This window comes from Homo sapiens, chromosome 1, assembly GCF_000001405.40.
Source record: "Homo sapiens chromosome 1, GRCh38.p14 Primary Assembly".
NCBI lineage: Eukaryota > Metazoa > Chordata > Mammalia > Primates > Hominidae > Homo > Homo sapiens.
Genome location: NC_000001.11, coordinates 11248297 through 11268791, shown reverse-complemented (window position 1 = coordinate 11268791; position 20495 = coordinate 11248297). Strand labels below are relative to the sequence as shown.

At 47.3% G+C, this 20495-nt stretch overlaps 1 protein-coding gene across 7 annotated transcripts in view, besides 3 other annotated features; it reads left to right on the top strand.

Moving 5' to 3' along the window:
- Positions 5894-6053: an enhancer, noted in NCBI's record as "active region_165". NCBI's record gives its function as "activates an Ori minimal core promoter by ATAC-STARR-seq in GM12878 lymphoblastoid cells {active_cell/tissue: GM12878}" and the evidence as "EXISTENCE:reporter gene assay evidence [ECO:0000049][PMID:35858748]".
- The window catches only part of MTOR (mechanistic target of rapamycin kinase), a 156017-nt gene continuing 141762 nt past the window's right edge, over positions 6241-20495 (top strand). For 5 of the 7 annotated variants that reach the window (XR_007058581.1, NM_001386501.1, NM_004958.4 and 2 more), the window contains exons 1-6: positions 6241-6347; positions 9369-9544; positions 10199-10307; positions 11627-11859; positions 12600-12800; positions 14819-14953. Coding sequence is in view for 5 of the 7 variants with exons in the window: in NM_004958.4 (NP_004949.1) it covers positions 9383-9544; positions 10199-10307; positions 11627-11859; positions 12600-12800; positions 14819-14953 (840 nt within the window). In the remaining 2 variants the exon portion in view is untranslated. Of the gene's footprint in view, positions 6348-9341; positions 9545-10198; positions 10308-11626; positions 11860-12599; positions 12801-14818; positions 14954-20495 lie in introns of those variants that run through there. The other 2 variants (NM_001386500.1, XM_017000900.1) reach the window with 2 other exon arrangements.
- Positions 6474-6523: a silencer, noted in NCBI's record as "silent region_261". NCBI's record gives its function as "represses an Ori minimal core promoter by ATAC-STARR-seq in GM12878 lymphoblastoid cells {active_cell/tissue: GM12878}" and the evidence as "EXISTENCE:reporter gene assay evidence [ECO:0000049][PMID:35858748]".
- Positions 19811-20377: an enhancer, noted in NCBI's record as "H3K27ac hESC enhancer chr1:11308472-11309038 (GRCh37/hg19 assembly coordinates)". NCBI's record gives its function as "activates a minimal SCP1, AML or CMV promoter by ChIP-STARR-seq in naive H9 embryonic stem cells {active_cell/tissue: H9 hESC(naive)}" and the evidence as "EXISTENCE:reporter gene assay evidence [ECO:0000049][PMID:30033119]".

Sequence of the window (20495 nt, the reverse complement as noted above, 5' to 3'; positions counted from 1 at the left end):
CATTCACTGCAGCATTTGTAATAGCACAAATTTGGACATAACACAAATGTCCATTCACAGAGGACTGGAAAATGAACTATGGCACAGCCATGTGATAGAACACTATGCAGCTGTAGCAACAACAAAAGGACAAGAAACTCTGTGTGTACCAAGATGGAAATGAAACCGTCCCAACAAACTTTATAAAATTAATCAGGGGCCAGGTGCGGTGGCTCACACCTGTAATCCCAGCACTTTGGGAGGCCAAGGCAGGCTGATCACTTGAGGTCAGGAGTTCGAGACCAGCCTGGCCAACATTGTGAAACCCCGTCTCTACTAAAAATACAAAAATTAGGCTGGACACAGTGGCTCACACCTGTAATCCTAGCACTTTGCGAGGCTGAGGCAGGCAGATTACCTGAGGTCAGGAGTTCAAGACCAGCCTGGCCAACATGGTGAAACTTTGTCTTTACTAAAAATACAAAAAATTAGCCGGGTACAGTGGGGTGCGCCTATAATCCCAGCTACTCTGCCGAGGTGCACACCTGTAATCCCAGCTACTCTGGAGGCTGAGGCAGGAGAATTGCTTGAACCTGGGAGGCAGAGGTTGCAGTGAGCTGAGATCACGCCACTGCACTCTAGCCTGGGCTACAGAGCGAGACTTGGTCTCAAAAAAAAAAAAAAAGTACAAAAATTAGCTGGCATGGTGGCGCACACCTGTAATCCCAGCCACTCGGGAGGCTGAGGCAGGAGAATCGTTTGAACCCGGGAGGTGGAGGTTGCGGTGAACTGAGATCACACCACTGCACTCCGAGTGAGACTCCATCTCAAAATAAAATAAAATAAATCAGGGAGGAAGGGAGGGAGAGAAATGAAAATAAACAAAGCTTGCAGCACATTCAGCATTCATCATGAGGTCATGTTGAACTCTGAGCCATTTCCTCATAGTTGTTTGCTGCCTACTGTCCCAGAATCATGCGGACCCTGTCATCAGACAACTTAAGCTTGCAAAACATTGTTTTCCACCTGAGGTATTCTTTCAGGTCCTGCATATCAGTGAAACTACTGATGACAGCCATTGTGAAAGACCCCACAGGGAGCTAACTCACCAAAGAATGCAGTTTCTACATCCTGATGATTTCACCCCCTTTACCCCAACCCATAAACGATACCAAATTTCCAGCCTCTCCCCCTCTACAATCCCCTTAAAAACCCCAGCTCAGGCCGGGCACGGTGGCTCACTCCTGTAATCCCAGCACTTTGGGAGGCCGAGGTGGGCAGATCAAGAGGTCAGGAGTTTGAGACCAGCCTGACCAACACGGTGAAACCGTGTCTCTACTAGAAATACAAAAATTAGCCGGGTATGGTGGCACACACCTATAATCCCAGCTACTCAAAAGGCTGAGGCACAAGAATTGCTTGAACCTGGGAGGCAGAGGTGGCAGTGAGCTGAGATCCTGCCACTGCACTCCAGCCTGGGCAACAGAGCGAGACTCTGTCTCAAGAAAAAACAAAACAAACAAACAAACAAACAAACCCAGCTCAGAATTCCTTGGGGAGATGGATTTGAAGGTCTCCTCCTGTTACAGTAGATAGCTAGTCAGGCATGAGCAGAGCAGGAGAGGCCCCCACCCCCTAACCCCAGGAATGTCAAGCAACCATTGGGTGATGGTCAGGCAGTTGTTAAGCTATCTCGCTAAAATAATAATTGATTGCAGCTGGTGCCAGAGAAAGGCAGTCTCCCAAAAGATAGAAACACCTGAAACTGGTGATCAGCAGCTTCCCATAAGATCTCAGGAGCTGGGCGAGTAGGCTCAAGCATGGGCACTAAGAGGCAAAATCGCAGATGATCACTAACAGGCAAAATCGCCGATGATCTTCCTCTAGGAACACTGGACTGGTAAGGGAAACACATCTTGAGTGAGCATGCCCACAACTCCAGTAAACACACTGCACATGCGCCCCTACCCAAGTGCTGACAGGCCACCATGCATGTGGACAGCCCACCCCAAGGGAAGAATCAGGGGAGAAGGGATGCAAGACCCTGGAAGTATGCCAACCCCGAGTCAAGGTCAAACAGCGCACTTGATCTCTCAGGTCAACTGCTTGGTTCTCTTCCAAGTGTCCTTTACTTCCTTTCATTCCTGCTCTAAAGCTCTTTAATAAACTTCGCTCCTGTTCTAAAACTTGCCTCAGTCTCTCACTCTGCCTTATGCCCCTCAGTTGAATTCTTTCTTCTGAGGAGGCAAGAACTGAGCTTGCTGCAGACCATGTAAATTCAGCGCTGGTAACACTCCCATCTCCTCAGTTGGCTGCCCTGCGATCACTAAACTCTTTCTCTGCTGCAGACTCTGCTGTCTCATTGCATTGGTCAACTGTTGCTGTGCAGCAGGCATAGAATCCTGTTGGAACTACAAGAGAAAGATCTACAAGATGCAGTAAAATTTTAAAAATGCAAAATAGTGCGTATAGTATAACAAAAGGGGAAAATAAAAATATATGTATGGGCTGGGCATGGTGGCTCGTGCCTGTAATCCTAGCATTTTGGGAGGCTGAGGCAAGCGGATCAACTGAGGTCAGGAGTTTGAGACCAGCTTGGCCAATGTGGTGAAACCTTGTCTCTACTAAAAATAAAAAAATTAGCCACGCATGATGGCACAGACATGTAATCCCAGCTATTGGGGAAGCTGAGGCAGGAGAATCACTTTAACCTGGGAGGCAGAGGTTGCAGTGAGCCAAGATCATGCCACTGCACTCCAGCCTGGGCGACAGAGTGAGACTCTGTCTCAAAAAAAAAAAAAAAAAAAAAAAGGAATATACATACGTATATATTTGCTTGTTTTTGCAGACAGAAAATCTAGGGATGCATAAGAAACTGAGAAAATACATAGTCAAGGGGCAAGGGTGGAGCAAGACTTTTCATGATAAATGTAACTTGTTTATTTTGAGATTTGAATAGCGACTATATTGCATATTAGAAGCTTTTAATGATAAAAATATAGATGTTGGGCCAGGCACAATGGCTCACGCCTGTAATCCCAGCACTTTGGGAGGCTGAAGCAGGCGGATCACCTGAGGTCAGGAGTTCAAGACCAGCCTGGCCAACATGGCGAAACCCTGTCTCTACTAAAAATACAAAAATTAGCTGGGTGTGGTGGCAGGTGCCTGTAATCCCAGCTACTCAGGAGGCTGAGGCACGAGAATCACTTGAACCCAGGAGGCGGTGGTTGTAGTGAGCCGAGATTGCGCCACTGCACTCCTGCCTGGGTACCAGAACGAGACTCCATCTAAAAAAAAAAAAAAAAAAAAAAATTGAACATCAGTGAAAATGTAAAATTTAGAGGAATACTTATCTCACAGGAGCAATGAAAAGAGGCTAAATCTAAAGTAGCCATTATTACTCGAGAGGCTGAGGCAAGAGAATCGCTTAAACCTGGGAGGCAGAGGTTGCAGTGAGGTGAGATGGCTCCCCTGCACTCCAGCCTGGGTGACAGAGTAAGATTCTGTCTCAAAAAAAAGGAGCAATTATATATATATATATATTTATATATATATATATATAATTTTTTTTTTTTGAGACAGTGTCTCACTCTGTCAACTCAGGATGGAATGCAGTGGTGCAGTGGTGAGATCACAGCTCACTGCAGCCTTGACCTCCTGGGCTCAAGTGATCCTCCCACCTCAACCTCTTAAGTAGCTGGGACCACAGGTGCATGCCACCACACCAACTAATTTTTTGCATTTTTTGTAGAGATGAGGTTTCACCATGTTGCCCAGGTGGGCTCAAACAATCCACCTGCCTCAGCCTCCCAAAGTGTTGGGTCACTGTGCCTGGCCAATATCATAGATATTAACAATAACAACAACAACAACAAAAACCCTGCCAAACAAAGCATTTTGTTAGCCACGGAATATTGACATCTTTATTTGTTTATTTATTTATTTATTTGAGATGGAGTCTCACTATGTTGCCCAGGCTGGTCTCAAATGCCTGGGCTCATGCAATCTTCCTGCTTTGGCCTCCCAAAGTGCTGGGATTACAGGTGTGAGCCACCGCACCCAGCCCAACTATCTTTAATTTGGCAGTTTAGACCTTCTGAAAACTCATTTCTTCTACCTTCACTTGTTTTTATTACATAAGTAATTGATAATGTATAAAGAAAAAAAGTGTGTCTTTCCCAAATTACATCTTAGTTGTGCACATTTCCCCCATGTAAACAGAGACATATAAGAAATGCATAAATATTTTTGTAAATGGTTGTATTATACTTACATTGTTGCACAACTTGTAATTTTTAAACTAGTTGTGAACCTTTTCCTTCTTAGCAAATATTCATCTAATTACCACTATTTATTGTTATTATTATTATTTGAGACAGGATCTTTCTCTGCTGCCCAGGCTGCAGTGCAGTGGAGATCACAGATGACTGCAACCTTGAAGTCATAGACTCAAGTGATTCTCGTGCCTCAGCCTTCCAAGTAGCTGGGACTACAGGCATGTGCTACCACACACAGCTAATTTTTAAATTTCTTTTGTAGAGACAAGGGTCTCACTATGTTGCTCAGGCTGGTCTGGAACTCCTGGCCTCAAGCAATCCTGCCTCGGCCTCCCAAAGTGCTGGGATTCCAGGGATGAGCCACCATGCTAGGCTCTAAATTATAATTATTAATGGCTATGTATTTTTCTTATTATGAATGCATCTTTTTTTTTTTTTTTTTTTTTTTTTGAGATGGAGTCTCGCACTGTCACCCCAGCTGGAGCGCAGTGGCGCGATCTCGGCTCACTGCAACCTCCGCCTGCTGGCTTCAAGGGATTTTCCTATCTCAGCCTCCTGAGTAGCTGGCATTACAGGCACCTGCCACCACGCCTACCTTTTTTTTTTTTTTTTTGTATTTTTAGTAAAGACGGGGTTTCACTATGTTGGTCAAGCTGGTCTCAAACTCCTGACCTCATGATCCGCCCGCCTCGGCCTCCCAAAGTGCTGGGATTACAGGTGTGAGCCACCGCGCCCAAACGAATGCATCATATTTTATTGGACTCCTACTTTGAAATATTTAGGAATTTTCAGTGTTTACTATGACAAATAGCACTGTGATTAAAAAAAAATGTAGTCAAATCCACTTTTGCTGTTGATTTTTTTTTTTTTAATCTGTAGAGACATCGTCTCGCTATGTTGCCCAGGCTGGTCTGGAACTCCTGGCCTCAAGCGATCCTCCTGCTTTGGCCTCCCAAAGTGCGTGGGCCACCGTGACCAGCAGTTATTTATTTTCTTTGGTTGTGTGTGTGTGTGTGTGTGTGTGTGTGTGTGTGTGTGTGTATGTATGTATTGAGACGGAGCTTGCTCTGTTGCCCAGGCTAGAGTGCAGTGGCACGATCTCGGTGCATGCAACCTTCACCTCCCGGGTTCAGGCGATACTCGTGCCTCAGCCTCCCGAGTATCTGGGATTACAGGCGTGAGCCACCATGCCCAGCTAATTTTTGTATTTTCAGTAGAGACGGGGGGTGCGGGTGGGGGAATTTCACCATGTTGACCAGGCTGGTCTCGACTCCTGACCTACGGTGATCCGCCTGCCTCGGTCTCCCAAAGTGCTGGAATTATGGGCGTGAGCCACCGCGCCGGGCCAGCTATTGATTTTTTGAAAGGATTTTTAAAAAATAATGTTGCTTTGAAAATTTTTATTTATGACTAGCTCTTTTGGTTAAAACTTGGCTATGGTTTCTCTGGAGTGATCCTGAGTTGGATAATTTTGGGAAAGTTAGAGAATCTAATTAAAAACATTTTCAAATGCTTATTAATTGTAACAAAAGAGATATCACAGGATCCATAAAGAGCGCTAGCCCGAAACGTCTTTTGATGCAGTAATTCCTGGGCACCGGCATCGCTCACATTCTCCTCTCAGAATTACACCGGGAGGGGTCGCGAACCTCTGCTAGCCGCTCTCGCTGCGATCCGGAGATACCCAGACACCGGACTCCTTGAGTTCACAGCCCGGATGCAGAAGGGAATCCTAGCAGCGCCGTACCGGATGTGTGAGTGGAAGTGACTGAGGTGAACTCACGACCGATTGGTTCTCCCGAGTGGACCCAAGCCTGTTTTCACCTGCCACTGGCCGCGTGGTTTGTCTATTTGAACAGTCCCCGCCCCCTGGAGAAGCCGGGTCCTGAAGCTTCTCTTCTTCATTACTATTGGCCTGTTTTTCAGTCCATCTTCTCCCTATACCTGTCGATTGGTCCTCAGGGCTGGGAACCCTCCTTCCCTCGCTCCCGGCTTAGAGGACAGCGGGGAAGGCGGGCGGTGGGGCAGGGGGCCTGAAGCGGCGGTACCGGTGCTGGCGGCGGCAGCTGAGGCCTTGGCCGAAGCCGCGCGGTGAGTCTAGGGCCTGGCACGACCCCTCTAGGGCGGCGTAATGTCCAGACCCACGGCCAGCCTGCCCGTGGGGGGGCCAGGGGAAGCCGCCCGTCTGGGACGTGGGGTCCCCACATTGCCGGCCCCACGACCTGGGCACCGTCTGAGGCCTTGACTCCCACCCCTCGAGGCAACGCCCACCTCCCCGGGACCCCCAAGAGACCCCTGGACCCTTCGGCCCGCGGTACGTCCGCCCGAAGGCCGGCCCATCAGCTCTGGTATTGCCCTTTGGGTCTTTTGCCTGTCACAGCCACCCTTTCTTTTGAGCCACGTATAAAAATTGTGTATCTCTGCCCCAGGGAACACTAGCGTCCGTGTCAGCCCCTTGTCCTCCACTGTGGACACCTCTCAGAGATCCAGTCCCCGAAACTGAGCTTGGTTACATCGTTGGGGTACATCTTCTCTCCCTCTCCCCCAGCCCCATCCCTGTTTCCCCCATCCAATCTTAACTTCCTTAAGCCCTATCAACACCATTAGGATATTTGACTTCAGATATCCTAAGTTTAATTGAATTCAGTCTGGAGCAGATGGCCTGTGGGCCTCAGATCATATAAAGATACACTGGTTCTTTCCTGAGAATAGAAATCCCTTGCCAGCCACCTTCCCCCCTTTCGGACGCACACACATACACACAAACTGGAGTAGTTTTCTTAGCAGGGATTCTTAAGTTTCTTCTCCCCTAAAGGATGACATTTCTTTCTGCAGTCTTCTTCTTGGCAGTGGAGTATTTGAAAGCTTTACAAAACCAATTATTCCCAGGTTTTTCCTCTGTGCCTTACAAATTCTTTCAAAAATAAGAATTTTGAGAAATTGGTTTTGTAGCATAAGCTGAACATACTTGGGATAGGTGTATGTTACACCCATGGCAGTGTGGGCATAATTGAGGAATGAGGGAATGAGCTCAGGAACTAATTGGTGTTTTTTGTTTTGTTTTGAGACGGAGTTTCGCTCTGTCGCCCAGGCTGGAGTGCAGTGGCTCGATCTCTGCTCACTGCAAGCTCCGCCTCCCGGGTTCCCGCCATTCTCCTGCCTCAGCCTCCCGAGTAGCTGGGACTACAGGCGCCCGCCACCATACGGCTAATTTTTTTTTTTTTTTGTATTTTTAGTAGAGGCGGGATTTCACCGTGTTGGCCAGGATGGTCTCGATTTCCTGACCTCGTGATCCGCCCGCCTCGGCCTCCCAAACCCGGCCAGGAACTAATTACTTTCTTTTAGCTTACATTTGAAGAGCTAGTCCCCTGTAGAACTGCGTTGTTCAGTACAAGAACCACCAGCCACATGTGGCTGTGGAGCACTTGAAATGTGACTAGTCCAGGCCGGGCATGGTGGCTCACACCTGTAATCCCAGCACTTTGGGAGGCCAAGGCGGGCAGATCACCTGAGGTCAGGAATTTGAGACCAGCCTGGCCAACATAATAAAACCCCATCTCTACTAAAAACACACAAAAATTAGCCAGGCGTGGTGCTGCACATCTGTAGTCCCAGCTACTCGGGAAGCTGAGGCAGGAGAATCATTTGAACCCGGGAGGTGGATGTTGCAGTGAGCCGAGATCATGCCACTGCACTCCAGCCTGGGTGACAGAGCGAGACTCTGTCTCAAAAAAAAAAAAAAAAATGACTAGTCCAAATTGACATTGTTGTAAGTGTAAAATGCACATTAGATTTTGAAGACTCGCTAAAAAAAAAGAATGGACACTATATCAATTTTTTAAATATTGATAACATGTTGAAATGATATTTTGGATATATTGGTTTAGGTAATTAATTTCACCTGTTTCTTTTTACCTTTTAAAATATGGCTACAAGCAGCCTTAAAATTACATTTGTGGATCATTGTATTTCCTCTTTTTTTTTTTTTTAATTGAGATGGAGTTTTGCTCTTGTTGCCCAGGCTGTAGTGCAATGGCCCAATCTCAGCTCACTGCAACCTCTGCCTCCTGGGTTCAAGTGATTCTCCTGCCTCAACCTCCCAAGTAGCTGGGGTTACAGGCACGCACTGCCACGCCTGGCTAATTTTGTATTTTTAGTAGAGACGGGGTTTCACCATATTGCCCAGGCTGGTCTCAAACTCCTGACCTCAGGTGATCTGCCCACCTTGGGCTCCCAAAGTGCCGGGATTACAGGCGTGAGCCACTGTGCCCGGCCTAAATTTCCATTAGATAGTGCTGCTGTAGAATAATAATCTCTCTTTTTAGACTGAACTTGAGGAAAGGGGCAGTCTTAGTCATTTTTAATTCTTTCCCTACCTCCTGACATTTGTTACCTGGCATTTTGCCATGTACATAGTAGTAGTAGTAGTAATAATAATAGCTAACAATTATTAAGAACTTAGTATATGCCCTGCACTGTTTTAAACACTTTTTGACACGTATTAAGTCATTTAGTTCTCACATCAACCCATGAACTAGGTACTATTATCTTCCTATTGTAGTTGAAGAAACACATTTTGAGTGTCTTTCTTGAGGTATATAACCTTGTTTTTGTTTTCGTTTGTTTTTGTTTTGAGACAGTGCAGTGGCAGGATCTCGGCTCACTGCAGCCTCTACCTCCCAGGTTCAAGGGATTCTCCTGCCTCAGCCTCCTGGGTGACACATGCCACCACGCCCAGCTAATTTTTGTATTTTTCATAGAGATGGGTTTTCACCATGTTGGGCAGGCTGGTCTCAAATTCCTGACCTCAGGTGGTCCTCCAGGCTCAGCCTCCCAAACTGCTCAAGGTATATAACCCAAGGATTCAAACCCAAGTAGGCTAGGCCGATAGCCCACAATTTAACCTCCCTACTACACTGCCTCTTTTAAACATCAGTCATTGTTTAATGAATCTAGGCTTTCTAAATGTTCCTCAATCAGATCTCTCAACCTTTTTAGAATCCCCTGCCTGACAAGGGCTAGGGGGAGATCTGTGTTGGGTGACCAGGGCCATAAGTAAATTTATCATCATACTTTCTTATCCAGAATATTAAAGGAAACTTCTCTCTAAAGAACCTCAGGGCAAGATGCTTGGAACCGGACCTGCCGCCGCCACCACCGCTGCCACCACATCTAGCAATGTGAGCGTCCTGCAGCAGTTTGCCAGTGGCCTAAAGAGCCGGAATGAGGAAACCAGGGCCAAAGCCGCCAAGGAGCTCCAGCACTATGTCACCATGGAACTCCGAGAGGTGCTTCTGGGATCTGGGGCCAGTCATTGTGGGATGTGTGGGCTAAATGTACCATCACTGGTTTACATTTTTTTTTGTACAGCTAAGTGAGGATTTGGAAAACAGAGATTATTTTATAAAGGCACCCAACCTGTCACATCCATAAAACATGCAGGTTCTTTTGCAGCAGTTGCACATTTTTGTAGCATTTTTCTTGTTTGTGGTCACATTTTAGGGGCCAGAATAGACTTAGCTGTTTCTTTTAACTTTTTATTTTTTCCTTACCACATACCACACCCTCAAATGCTTTCTGTCTGATAACAGTGATTGGGATGGGTTTGGAGAGTTGAGAGCTAGGGGCTTTCTAAATAGAGACCAGACTTGAGGTCAGAGACAGTATCTTGTTTCTCCTTTTATCCCTGGTACTAGAAAGAACCTAGGACAGGACATTTTCTGCCACAGAGTAGATACCTAATAAATATTTGTTAAATAATCAGATGATTGCAAGTTCAGGTACTCTACAGTGTAATCCTATAGAAATGGGCAGTAACTTGTCTTCTTTGGTTTGAACTATACCTCCTGCCTCTCAGGATCTAATCTTTAGATGCCAGCCCACTCCCACCACCACAGTTAGAGAATTATTAGAAATTGTTCTGATTATATCTTCTTTTGCAGATGAGTCAAGAGGAGTCTACTCGCTTCTATGACCAACTGAACCATCACATTTTTGAATTGGTTTCCAGCTCAGATGCCAATGAGAGGAAAGGTGGCATCTTGGCCATAGGTAAGGACAGAGTCTCTGGTCACAAAAACAACACACTCACCTTTGTGCCCACTGCACCCTGTGTCTGCCACTTACTGGATACTAGTTCATATTTGCTTAATGAAATTTAAGAAGCCCGTGGCTTTTAATTCTAGCAGCAGCCCTGGGCCACAGGAAAAACGTATTTTTAGATGTGGAAGTGGAGTCTCGGAACCATCGAGTGACTTTTCAGACAGTTTACCAGAGCTGAGACTAGAAGCCAGCTTTCTTTCCACTCCTTCATATTGCCTTTTGTGGGCTCTGCTTCCTCAGTAGAGCAGGGTTTCGCATAGTGGGGCTCACGAATGGAAAAGTGGAATCGGTATAGTTAATAAAAGGCAGGTCTTTTTTTTTTTTTTGAGATGGAGTCTCACTCTTGCCGGGGCTGGAGTTCAGTGGTGCAATCTTGGCTTGCTGCAACCTCCGCCTCCTGGGTTCAAGCGATTCTCGTGCCTCAGCCTCCCGAGTAGCTGGGATTACAGGCACCTGCCACCATGCCCAGCTAATGTTTGTATTTTCAGTAGAGACAGGGTTTCACCATGTTGGCCAGGCTGGTCTCGAACTCCTGACCTCAAGTGATCTGCCCACCTCAGCCTCCCAGAGTGCTGGGATTACAGGTGTGAGCCACCACAACTGGCCAGGCAGGTCATTTTTAACTTCTAAGGACTGGTCATCAGTCCTGTGAATTATTATCCAGTCCCAGTTGTTTTCCCTTTTTGGGGGGTAGGGGAGAAAATTATACTAGCATGAGATTATTTTGCTTTATGTAAATATTTCTGGCACAAGTATTAAATATCTGGGTTAAAATGAAAATTGTATCTGTCCTTGCCATCTAGAAATGTACTCAAAGTAGAATGGAGGGTTCACTCGCCAGATTTTTTTTTTTTTTTTTTTTTTTTTCTCTGAGACAGAGTCTCACTCTGTCGCCCAGGCTGGAGTGCAATGGTGCAGTCTCGGCTTACTGCAACCTCTGCCTCCCAGGTCCAAGCAATTCTCCTGCCTCAGCCTCCCAAGTAGCTGGGATTACAGGCGTGTGCCACCACGCCTGGCTAATTTTTTTGTTTTCTTTTTTTTTTTTTTTTTTTTGTATCTTAGTAGAGACGGGGTTTCACCATGTTGCCCAGGCTGGTCTCAAACTCCTGAGCTCAGGCAATCCGCCCGCCTCAGCCTCCCAAAGTGCTAGGATTACAGACTTGAGCCACCGTGCCTGGCCGGCACTCACCAGCTTTTAGTTGAAGTCTGCGTACTTTCCTGGCCAGCATACGCCCCATCATCACCTTTTGCCTTCCTCTCTTTTGCAGCTAGCCTCATAGGAGTGGAAGGTGGGAATGCCACCCGAATTGGCAGATTTGCCAACTATCTTCGGAACCTCCTCCCCTCCAATGACCCAGTTGTCATGGAAATGGCATCCAAGGCCATTGGCCGTCTTGCCATGGCAGGGGACACTTTTACCGCTGAGTACGTGGAATTTGAGGTGAAGCGAGCCCTGGAATGGCTGGGTGCTGACCGCAATGAGGGCCGGAGACATGCAGCTGTGAGTGTCTACAGGGAGGAGCACAGCCAGGCTTGGGGAACGATGGTGTCATGGGGGGGTCTTTTGCTTCCTTCTGAGGCTCATTCCTTAAAAAAGCTGGTTAGAAGAGCTAGGATTCCAGGCTGTGAGATGGGGTAGAGTCCGTCCTTAAGAGGGAATCTAGCATGGTGTGGTGGGGATCAGAAGCATCAGCTGCGTGCTTTCCAGTCTGCTGCCCTTCGGAGGAGGCAGTACTGTGAGGAGGGGGCACGGTACCAGGAAAAGGACACACACTTGGACCCTGGCTCAAGTCTTGGCTTTGCAACTTCCTACCTAACTCTGTAACCTGGGGCAGCTTCTGACCTTCAGTTTCTTCCTCTGTCAAATAAAAATAACAACAGGATTAAACATTAAACAGGATTATCCATTCAGTAAATATTTACTACATACCTACTGTATTCCAGGTAGAGTTCTAGGCTGTTAGTATAGTGGTAAAGAAAACATAAAACACATCTGCACTTCCAGAACTTATGTTCAAACATTACAAGCATTCTGTGTTTGTAAACAACCTAGGATAATGAGCACTGAGATGTTTAATCAATTTTGCTTTCCTTCCTCTGTCCTCAGAATTTCCTAGCTAGAAGAGTGAGCAAGCCTTCTCTGTTCCTGGTGTGTATGGCTCTAAGATGACAAGAGACTGTACTCCTGAGAGAACAAAACTCTGGTACCAATGAGAGTTCTCGGTTTGCTTTTTTCTCCAGGTCCTGGTTCTCCGTGAGCTGGCCATCAGCGTCCCTACCTTCTTCTTCCAGCAAGTGCAACCCTTCTTTGACAACATTTTTGTGGCCGTGTGGGACCCCAAACAGGCCATCCGTGAGGGAGCTGTAGCCGCCCTTCGTGCCTGTCTGATTCTCACAACCCAGCGTGAGCCGAAGGAGATGCAGAAGCCTCAGTGGTACAGGGTAAGGAGATGGCTCCATTCCCACCACTAGCAAAGCACATCTGCGTAGAGAATCACCTGGCCTAAAGGGCAGCCACAAGCCCTTGCCATGGAGCAAGAATCACGTTTTGGTTTGCTCTCAAATGAATTTTTTTTTTTTTTTTTTTGTGATGGAGTCTTGCTTTGTCGCCCAGGCTGGAGTGCAGTGGCGCAATCTCGGCTCACTGCAACCTCCGCCTCTTGGGTTCAAGCGATTTTCTCCCACCTTAGCCTCCCGAATAGCTAGGACTACAGGCGTGTGCCACCACGCCCAGCTAATTTTTGTAATAGAGACAGGGTTTTGCCATGTTGGCCAGGCTGGTCTCGAATTCCTGACCTCAGGTGATCCACCTGCCTTGGCCTCTCAAAGTGCTGGGATTACAGACATGAGCTACCGCGCCTGGCCTCCAATGAATTTTTTATGCTCAGTATGAATCAATAGTTACTTTATTGCATTTTATTAAAGCAAACATCTATTGATAGCCATACCATTATTCTATACATTATTTTATGTATGACTAAGAATGCAAATATGCCAATTAAACTGTGACTTGGTACCTCTTTCTTTTTTTTTTTTTTTTTTTTTTTTTTTGGAGATGGAGTCTTGTTCTGTCACCAAGCTGGAGTTTAGTGGTGTGATTTTGTCTCACTGTAGCCTCTGCCTCCTGGGTTCAAGTGATTCTCCTGCCTCAGCCTCCCGAGTAGCTGGGACTACAGGCATGTGCCATCACGCCCAGCCAATTTTTGTGTTTTTAGTAGAGACAGGGTTTCACCATATTGGCCAGGATGGTCTTGATCTCTTGACCTCATGATCCACCTGCCTTGACCTCCCAAAGTGCTGGGATTACAGGCATGAGCCACTGTGCCCGGCCAACTTTGTACCTTCTTCTTATTAATAATTAATTATAAGACATCTCAGCTGGATGCTCACGCCTGTAATCCCAACATTTTGGGAGGCCAAGGCAGGAGGATTGCTTGAGCTCAGGAGTTTGAGACCAGCCTGGGCAGCATGTGGGATCCCGTCTCTACAAAAAATAAAAAAATTAGCTGGGCCTGGTGTTACACGCCTGTGGTCCCAGCTATTTGGGAGGCTGAGGCGGGAGAATTGCTTGAGCCCAAGAGATCAAGGCTGCAGTGAGTCATGATCATGCCACTGCACTCCAGACTTGACAACAGAGTGAGACTCTGTCTCAAAAAAAAAAAAAAGACATCTCTTTTCAGAGATGTTAAAATACGGAAAAATAGGTGTCTCAAAATCAGTGAGATACAAATGATACTAATTTAGAAAGTGCCATTTCTCTCTGCTCTAGTATAATGAGGCCTGTGCTGATTACTGCTGCAGAGGGAACTTATCAGTGAGTCTTATATTAGAAAAAGAGCTCTGAACATGGGATTGGGAGATGCGGGTTCCAGTCTTGCCTTTGCTGTGTGATCTTGGACAAGTCACTTAAATTCTTTGAGCCTGTGTTTTTAGCTGTTAAATAGGGATGATGATGGTATCTTCCTCAAAGGCTTATTATGAGAATTGAAGCTGGGGCTGGGCGTGGTGGCTTACACCTGTAATCACAGCACTTTGGGAGGCTGAGATGGGTGGATCACTTGAGGTCAGGAGTTTGAGACCAGCCTGGTTAACATGGTGAAGCCCTGTCTCTACTAAAAATACAAAAATTAGCCAGGCGTGGTAGTGTGTGCCTGTAATCTCAGCTACTCAGGGGGCTGAGGCAGGAGAATCACTTGAACCCAGGAGGTGGAGGTTGTGGAGAGCCGAGATTGCGCCACTGCACTCCAGCCTGGGCAATAGAGCAAGACTCCATCTCAAAAAAAAAAAATTGAAGCTGAATTAAATAAAAGAGATTGATCAGTTAGTTTTGTTGATGACTGGCACTAGGCACTGAGCAGGCGTGGTAGCACCTCAGAACCCCCAGTGTAGATGGGATGGGCCTGTATTCTTTCTGGGTTTGTACTCTGTCTCTAATGAAGGCACCCTGTCTCTCTACATAGCACACATTTGAAGAAGCAGAGAAGGGATTTGATGAGACCTTGGCCAAAGAGAAGGGCATGAATCGGGATGATCGGATCCATGGAGCCTTGTTGATCCTTAACGAGCTGGTCCGAATCAGCAGCATGGAGGGAGAGGTGAGAAGCCACGGCAGAGGGGAGTCCAGGCTCCCCGTGTACCATTCTGTGAGCGAGGCAAGGCGAGATCCATGTCCTCATGGAGCTGACATTTTGTGGCAGGAAACATAATAAATAAGTAAATAAGATAATTTCAGATAGCAGCAAGTTCTATGAAGAAAGTCAAACCAGAATAGAATAGAGAGTGATGGGGAGGGGGTGAGTGGAGGGTCAAGGAAGGCCCTCCCTGAGGTGGTGTTATTTGACGGGGGTCCACATGACACGAAGGAGCTACCTTGCAGCAGGCCGGGGGACTGTGTTCCAGGCTGAGGCTTTGAGGTGGAAGAGTGTGAGACATTGATGAAACAGAAGAAAGGGAAGTATGGCTGGTGTACCGGGAGCAAGGGAGAGGGAAGGAGGGGCCAAATTAATAGGCCCACGGTTCACAGTAAACACGAGCTTTCACAGGGGTAAACATTGGAAGTATGCACACAGGCGAATAATGTGATGTCATGCGTTTCTAACAATCACTGACTGCTTATAGGAAAAAATGTGGGGAAAGGCAGGAATGAAAGCAGGGAGACCAATTAGGAGATGTGTTGGCTTGAGAAGGTGGATTTAAAAGTGCATGGATTTTATTAGGGAAACAGCCTTCAAGAGAATATGGGGAGGAAGCTGGGAGAAGCATCGGACCACAATGCACATCTGACCCTGAGTAAGCAAGAGGGTAAAATTCGGATAGAAGTGTTCTAGCCTACTCTGCAGGGCCACCGCGGGGTCCTCAAGCCAAAGTTGGCTGTCAGAGAGGTCTGTGTCTCCCAAGAGCAGGATAGCCTTAGCATCCCTACTGTGTTCTGTCATTGGCTGGGAGCAATGGGTGACGTTGGCACAAACTTAGTGATGGGTTTCAGAGCAGCAGCTGGGGCCCTTGGTTATGCGCCTTGTAGTTGGAGGTTGCATTCTCACGGCTGCCAGACGAAGCTATTACGGTAGTCTGGGTGAGTGACAGTGGTGGCTTTGACTAGGAGTGGTGGCACAGATACTGAGAAGTAGTTGATTCAGGATATATTTGGGAGGTAAAGCTCCATCTGTGAGACTGGCTGTAGAAAATGAGCTGTGAAATTTTACCCCGGGGATTCCTGCTTATAATAGACACAGTGCTTGTTAGATAATAGCCATGCCCAGATGTGGGAGCAGCGCATGCAGCAGTGTGCAGAAGCAGGAGGAGTCTGGCTTCAGATCCCCACCGCTCTGATGACTGTGCGACTCAGGCAAGTTACCTGTTTAGCCTCATTTTTCTCCCTTTGGACAGGGGCTCTTACCTACCTCATTGGGCTCTTGTGCGGTTTCTATATGATGTTGGCTCTCTATATCCATGAGTTCTACATCTGGATTCAACTAGTCATGGTTCACAAATACCCAGGGCTGGGTGCAGTGGCCCACACCTGCAATTTCAGCACTTTGGGAGGCTGAAGTGGGAAGATCACTTGATCCCAGGAGTTCGTGACCAGCCTGGGCAAAAGACGGTGAGACCGTGTCTCTACAAAAAAATTTTTTTAACTTTTTAAAAAGAAAAAAAAAATCAAGGAAAAAACAAACAATTTAAAGATAATACAAATTTTTAAAAATACAGTGCAACAAATATTTACATAGCATTTACTTTGTATAAGGTGTTATAACTAACATAGAGATGATTTAAAGTATGTGGGAAGCTATACATAGGTTATATGCAAATACTATGCTACTTTATCGGAGGGACTTGAGCATCTGCAGATTTTGGTATCGCAGTGGGTCATGGAACCAACCCCCATGGATACTAAGGGGATGACTATGTGTGTGAAGTGTCCAGCACAGCACCTAATACATAGTGGGCATTCTATAAATGGTAACCTTCAGATTTTACCTCCTGAGTTTAACATAATGTTTTCCACTGTAATCTAGGCACCTCTGAGATCTTTGTTTCCTCCCATTAAAACAGGACAGTATCACCTAGCTCATAGAGTGGTTGTCAGATTTCATTGAAATAGTTCTTGTGCAGGTGGTTTGTAAATTATAAGAAACTATCCAAGGCTGGGCATGGTGGCTCATGCCTGTAATCCAATCCAAGCATTCTGGGAGACCGAGGTGGGAGTTTGAGCTCAGGAGTTTGAGACCAGCCTGGGCAACATAATGAGACCTTGTCACTAAAAAAAAAAAAAAAAAAAGAAACTATCTAAATATAAGGTATTAAAATTTCATAATTTGTTCATTCATTCAACACATATTAATTGAGCACCTAGTATATGCCAGCTACACTGTGTCCTAAGAGCTAGAATAATCCAGCAGTGAACAAAATAGATTCCATTCTTATAAGGGAAGATAGATAATATACAAGTAAAAACCTATTATATATCATATGGTTATAAGAGCTATGGAGAAAAGTAGGGCAAGGAAGGGGAATAGAGTATGCTCACCTGGATTAAGGATTACATTTTAAAACACGGTGCTATTTGAGCACAGCCATGAAGGAGGTTAGAAAAAAGCCCTACAGGTATCTGGGGAAGAGCATTCTAGGCAGTGGTCCCTGAGGCAGGAGCGTGCTGGTGTATTAGAGGAGCAGCAAATACTGCAGTAGCAGCTCCCCTACCATGGCTGAGCAGAGTGAGCAGGAGAAGTGTGTGGGGATATGGGGTCAGAGGAACACCTAAGGGAAGGAGGGGCATATCACATAGGGCCTTTGTGTGGGAAGCGGGAAGCTATAAGTGGGCTTTGAGCAGTGGAGTGACATTTAACTCATATTTCAAAAGGATCACTCTTGCCATTGTGTTGAGAATGGATTGTTAGAGGGTCAAGGACTAAAGCCAGGAATCCAGTTAGGAGGGAATTGCCATGGTCTTAGTGGGGGATATTTGTGGCTCAGACCACAGTGGGAGCTATGGAGTTGCAAGAAGCAACTGGATTCTGAATTTGGGATTTGCTGATGGTTTGGAGGTAGATGGAGAGAAAGAAGTGTCAAGGTGTTTGGCCTGAGTATTAGGAGGATGAAGTTGCCATTCACTGCAGTGGGAAGACTGAAATGGGAGCAGCAGGCTTGCGGGAGAAGACTGGGAATTTGGTTTTGAACCTGTTAACTTAGAGACCTGTTGGGCACCTGAGTGAGGATACTGAATAGTTCTGGGGAGAGAGCTGGGCAAGGGGGATGGATTTGGGCATTGTCAGCGTATAGATGTTATTTCATCATGAGACTGGGTGAGAAGCACAAGGGAACTAGTACAGTTGGAGAAGAGATGGAGTCTGCAAACCTGAGGTCAGGAGATGAAGAGGACCAAGGCAGATGGGGAAGGAACAGCCAGGGAGGGAGGAGGAGAGCCAGGAGAGTTTAGAGTCTGAGAAGCCAGGTGAAGAAAGGGCGTCAAGGAGGTGGAAGTATCAGTTGGATGAAATGCTGCAGATAAGTCAAATAAGATGAGGACTAAGAATTGACCATTGGATTTAGCAGCTTAAGACTCACTGGTTGAGGGGCGCCTCTGCCCGGCCGCCCCTACTGGGAAGTGAGGAGCCCCTCTGCCCGGCCAGCCGCCCCATCTGGGAGGGAGGTGGGGGGGTCAGCCCCCTGCCCGGCCAGCCGCCCCGTCCGGGAGGGAGGTGGGGGGTCAGCCCCCCGCCCGGCCAGCCGCCCCGTCCGGGAGGGAGGTCGGGGGGTCAGCCCCCCGCCCGGCCAGCCGCCCTGTCCGGGAGGTGAGGGGCGCCTCTGCCCGGCCGCCCCTACTGGGAAGTGAGGAGCCCCTCTGCCCGGCCAGCCGCCCCGTCCGGGAGGGAGGTGTGGGGGTCAGCCCCCCGCCCGGCCAGCCACCCCGTCCGGGAGGTGAGGGGCGCCTCTGCCCGGCCGCCCCTGCTGGGAAGTGAGGAGCCCCTCTGCCCGGCCACCACCCCGTCTGGGAGGTGTGCCCAGTGGCTCATTGAGAACGGGCCATGATGACAGTGGCGGTTTTGTGGAATAGAAAGGGGGCAAAGGTGGGGAAAAGATTGAGAAATCGGATGGTTGCCGTGTCTGTGTAGAAAGAGGTAGACATGGGAGACTTTTCATTTTGTTCTGTACTAAGAAAAATTCTTCTGCCTTGGGATCCTGTTGATCTGTGACCTTACCCCCAACCCTGTGCTCTCTGAAACATGTGCTGTGTCCACTCAGGGTTAAATGGATTAAGGGCGGTGCAAGATGTGCTTTGTTAAACAGATGCTTGAAGGCAGCATGCTCATTAAGAGTCATCACCACTCCCTAATCTCAAGTACCCAGGGACACAAACACTGCGGAAGGCCGCAGGGTCCTCTGCCTAGGAAAACCAGAGACCTTTGTTCACTTGTTTATCTGCTGACCTTCCCTCCACTATTGTCCCATGACCCTGCCAAATCCCCCTCTGCGAGAAACACCCAAGAATGATCAATAAAAAATAAATAAATAAATAAATAAATAAAGATGGAGTGTTTTAGTTTCAAAAAAAAAAAGACTCACTGGTGACTTTGACGAGAGGACAAGATTTTCTGAAAAGTGAAAATATGTGTGTCAAGAAAAGTTTAGAAGTTTGGAAAACTTGTATCTCCTTCTCAATTTGGAGTCTTGGAGGATGAGTAGTCCCCAACCCCCCTCCCCTGGCCCCCAAAACCAAGGCTTGCTCTGCTGCCCAGGCTGGAGTACAGTTGGTGTGATCTCGGCTCACTGCAACCTCCGCCTCCTGGGTTCAAGCAATTCTCCTGCCTCAGCCTCCCGAGTAGCTGGGAGTACAGGCATGTGCCACCACACCCAGCTAATTTTTGTATTTTTAGTAGAAACGGGTTTTCACCATGTTGGTCAGACTGGTCTCGAACTCCTGACCTCATGATCTGCCCACCTAGGCCTCCCAAAGTGCTGGGATTACAGGCGTGAGCCCTTGCGCCTGACTCAGGATGAGTGATTAAGCAGCCCATTGTAAAGGTAATAGACATGAGTTCTCAGTCAGCTTATTCCATACTACCTGTGGAATCCTAGGATTCTGAGAAAATTATTTGGTTAAGTTTTTGTTTTTTGTTTTTTTGAGACAGATTTCCCTCTTGTCGCCCAGGCTAGAGTGCAGTGGTGCAATCTTGGCTCACTGCAACCTCTGCCTGCTGGGTTCAAGTGATTCTCCTGCCTCAGCCCCCAAGTAGCCAGGACTACAGGTGCCCACCACCACGCCCAGCTAATTTTTTGTATTTTTAATAGGGACGGGGTTTCACCATGTTGGCCAGGCTGGGCTTGAACTCCTGACCTCAGGTGATCTGCCCACCTTGGCCTCCCAAAGTACCGGAATTACAGGCATGAGCCACCACGCCTGGCCTGCATAAGTTTTTACCTGGGTTTCTAGGGAGAAGAAAGAGATCAGACAGTCCTTAACAGGATGCTGGCAGGGGAGCTCCCATCACCTTTGCAAGCCTCATTGCAGTGGCCTAGGTCAGTAGTCACAGCAGTATGCAAGTCAGCCCTTCCAAACCAAGTGAGGAGTCCTGGGAGGTGAGAACCCTTGGCAAGGCAGCCCTCTGCTGCTGCTTTATTGTTCAATAGGTGGTGCTC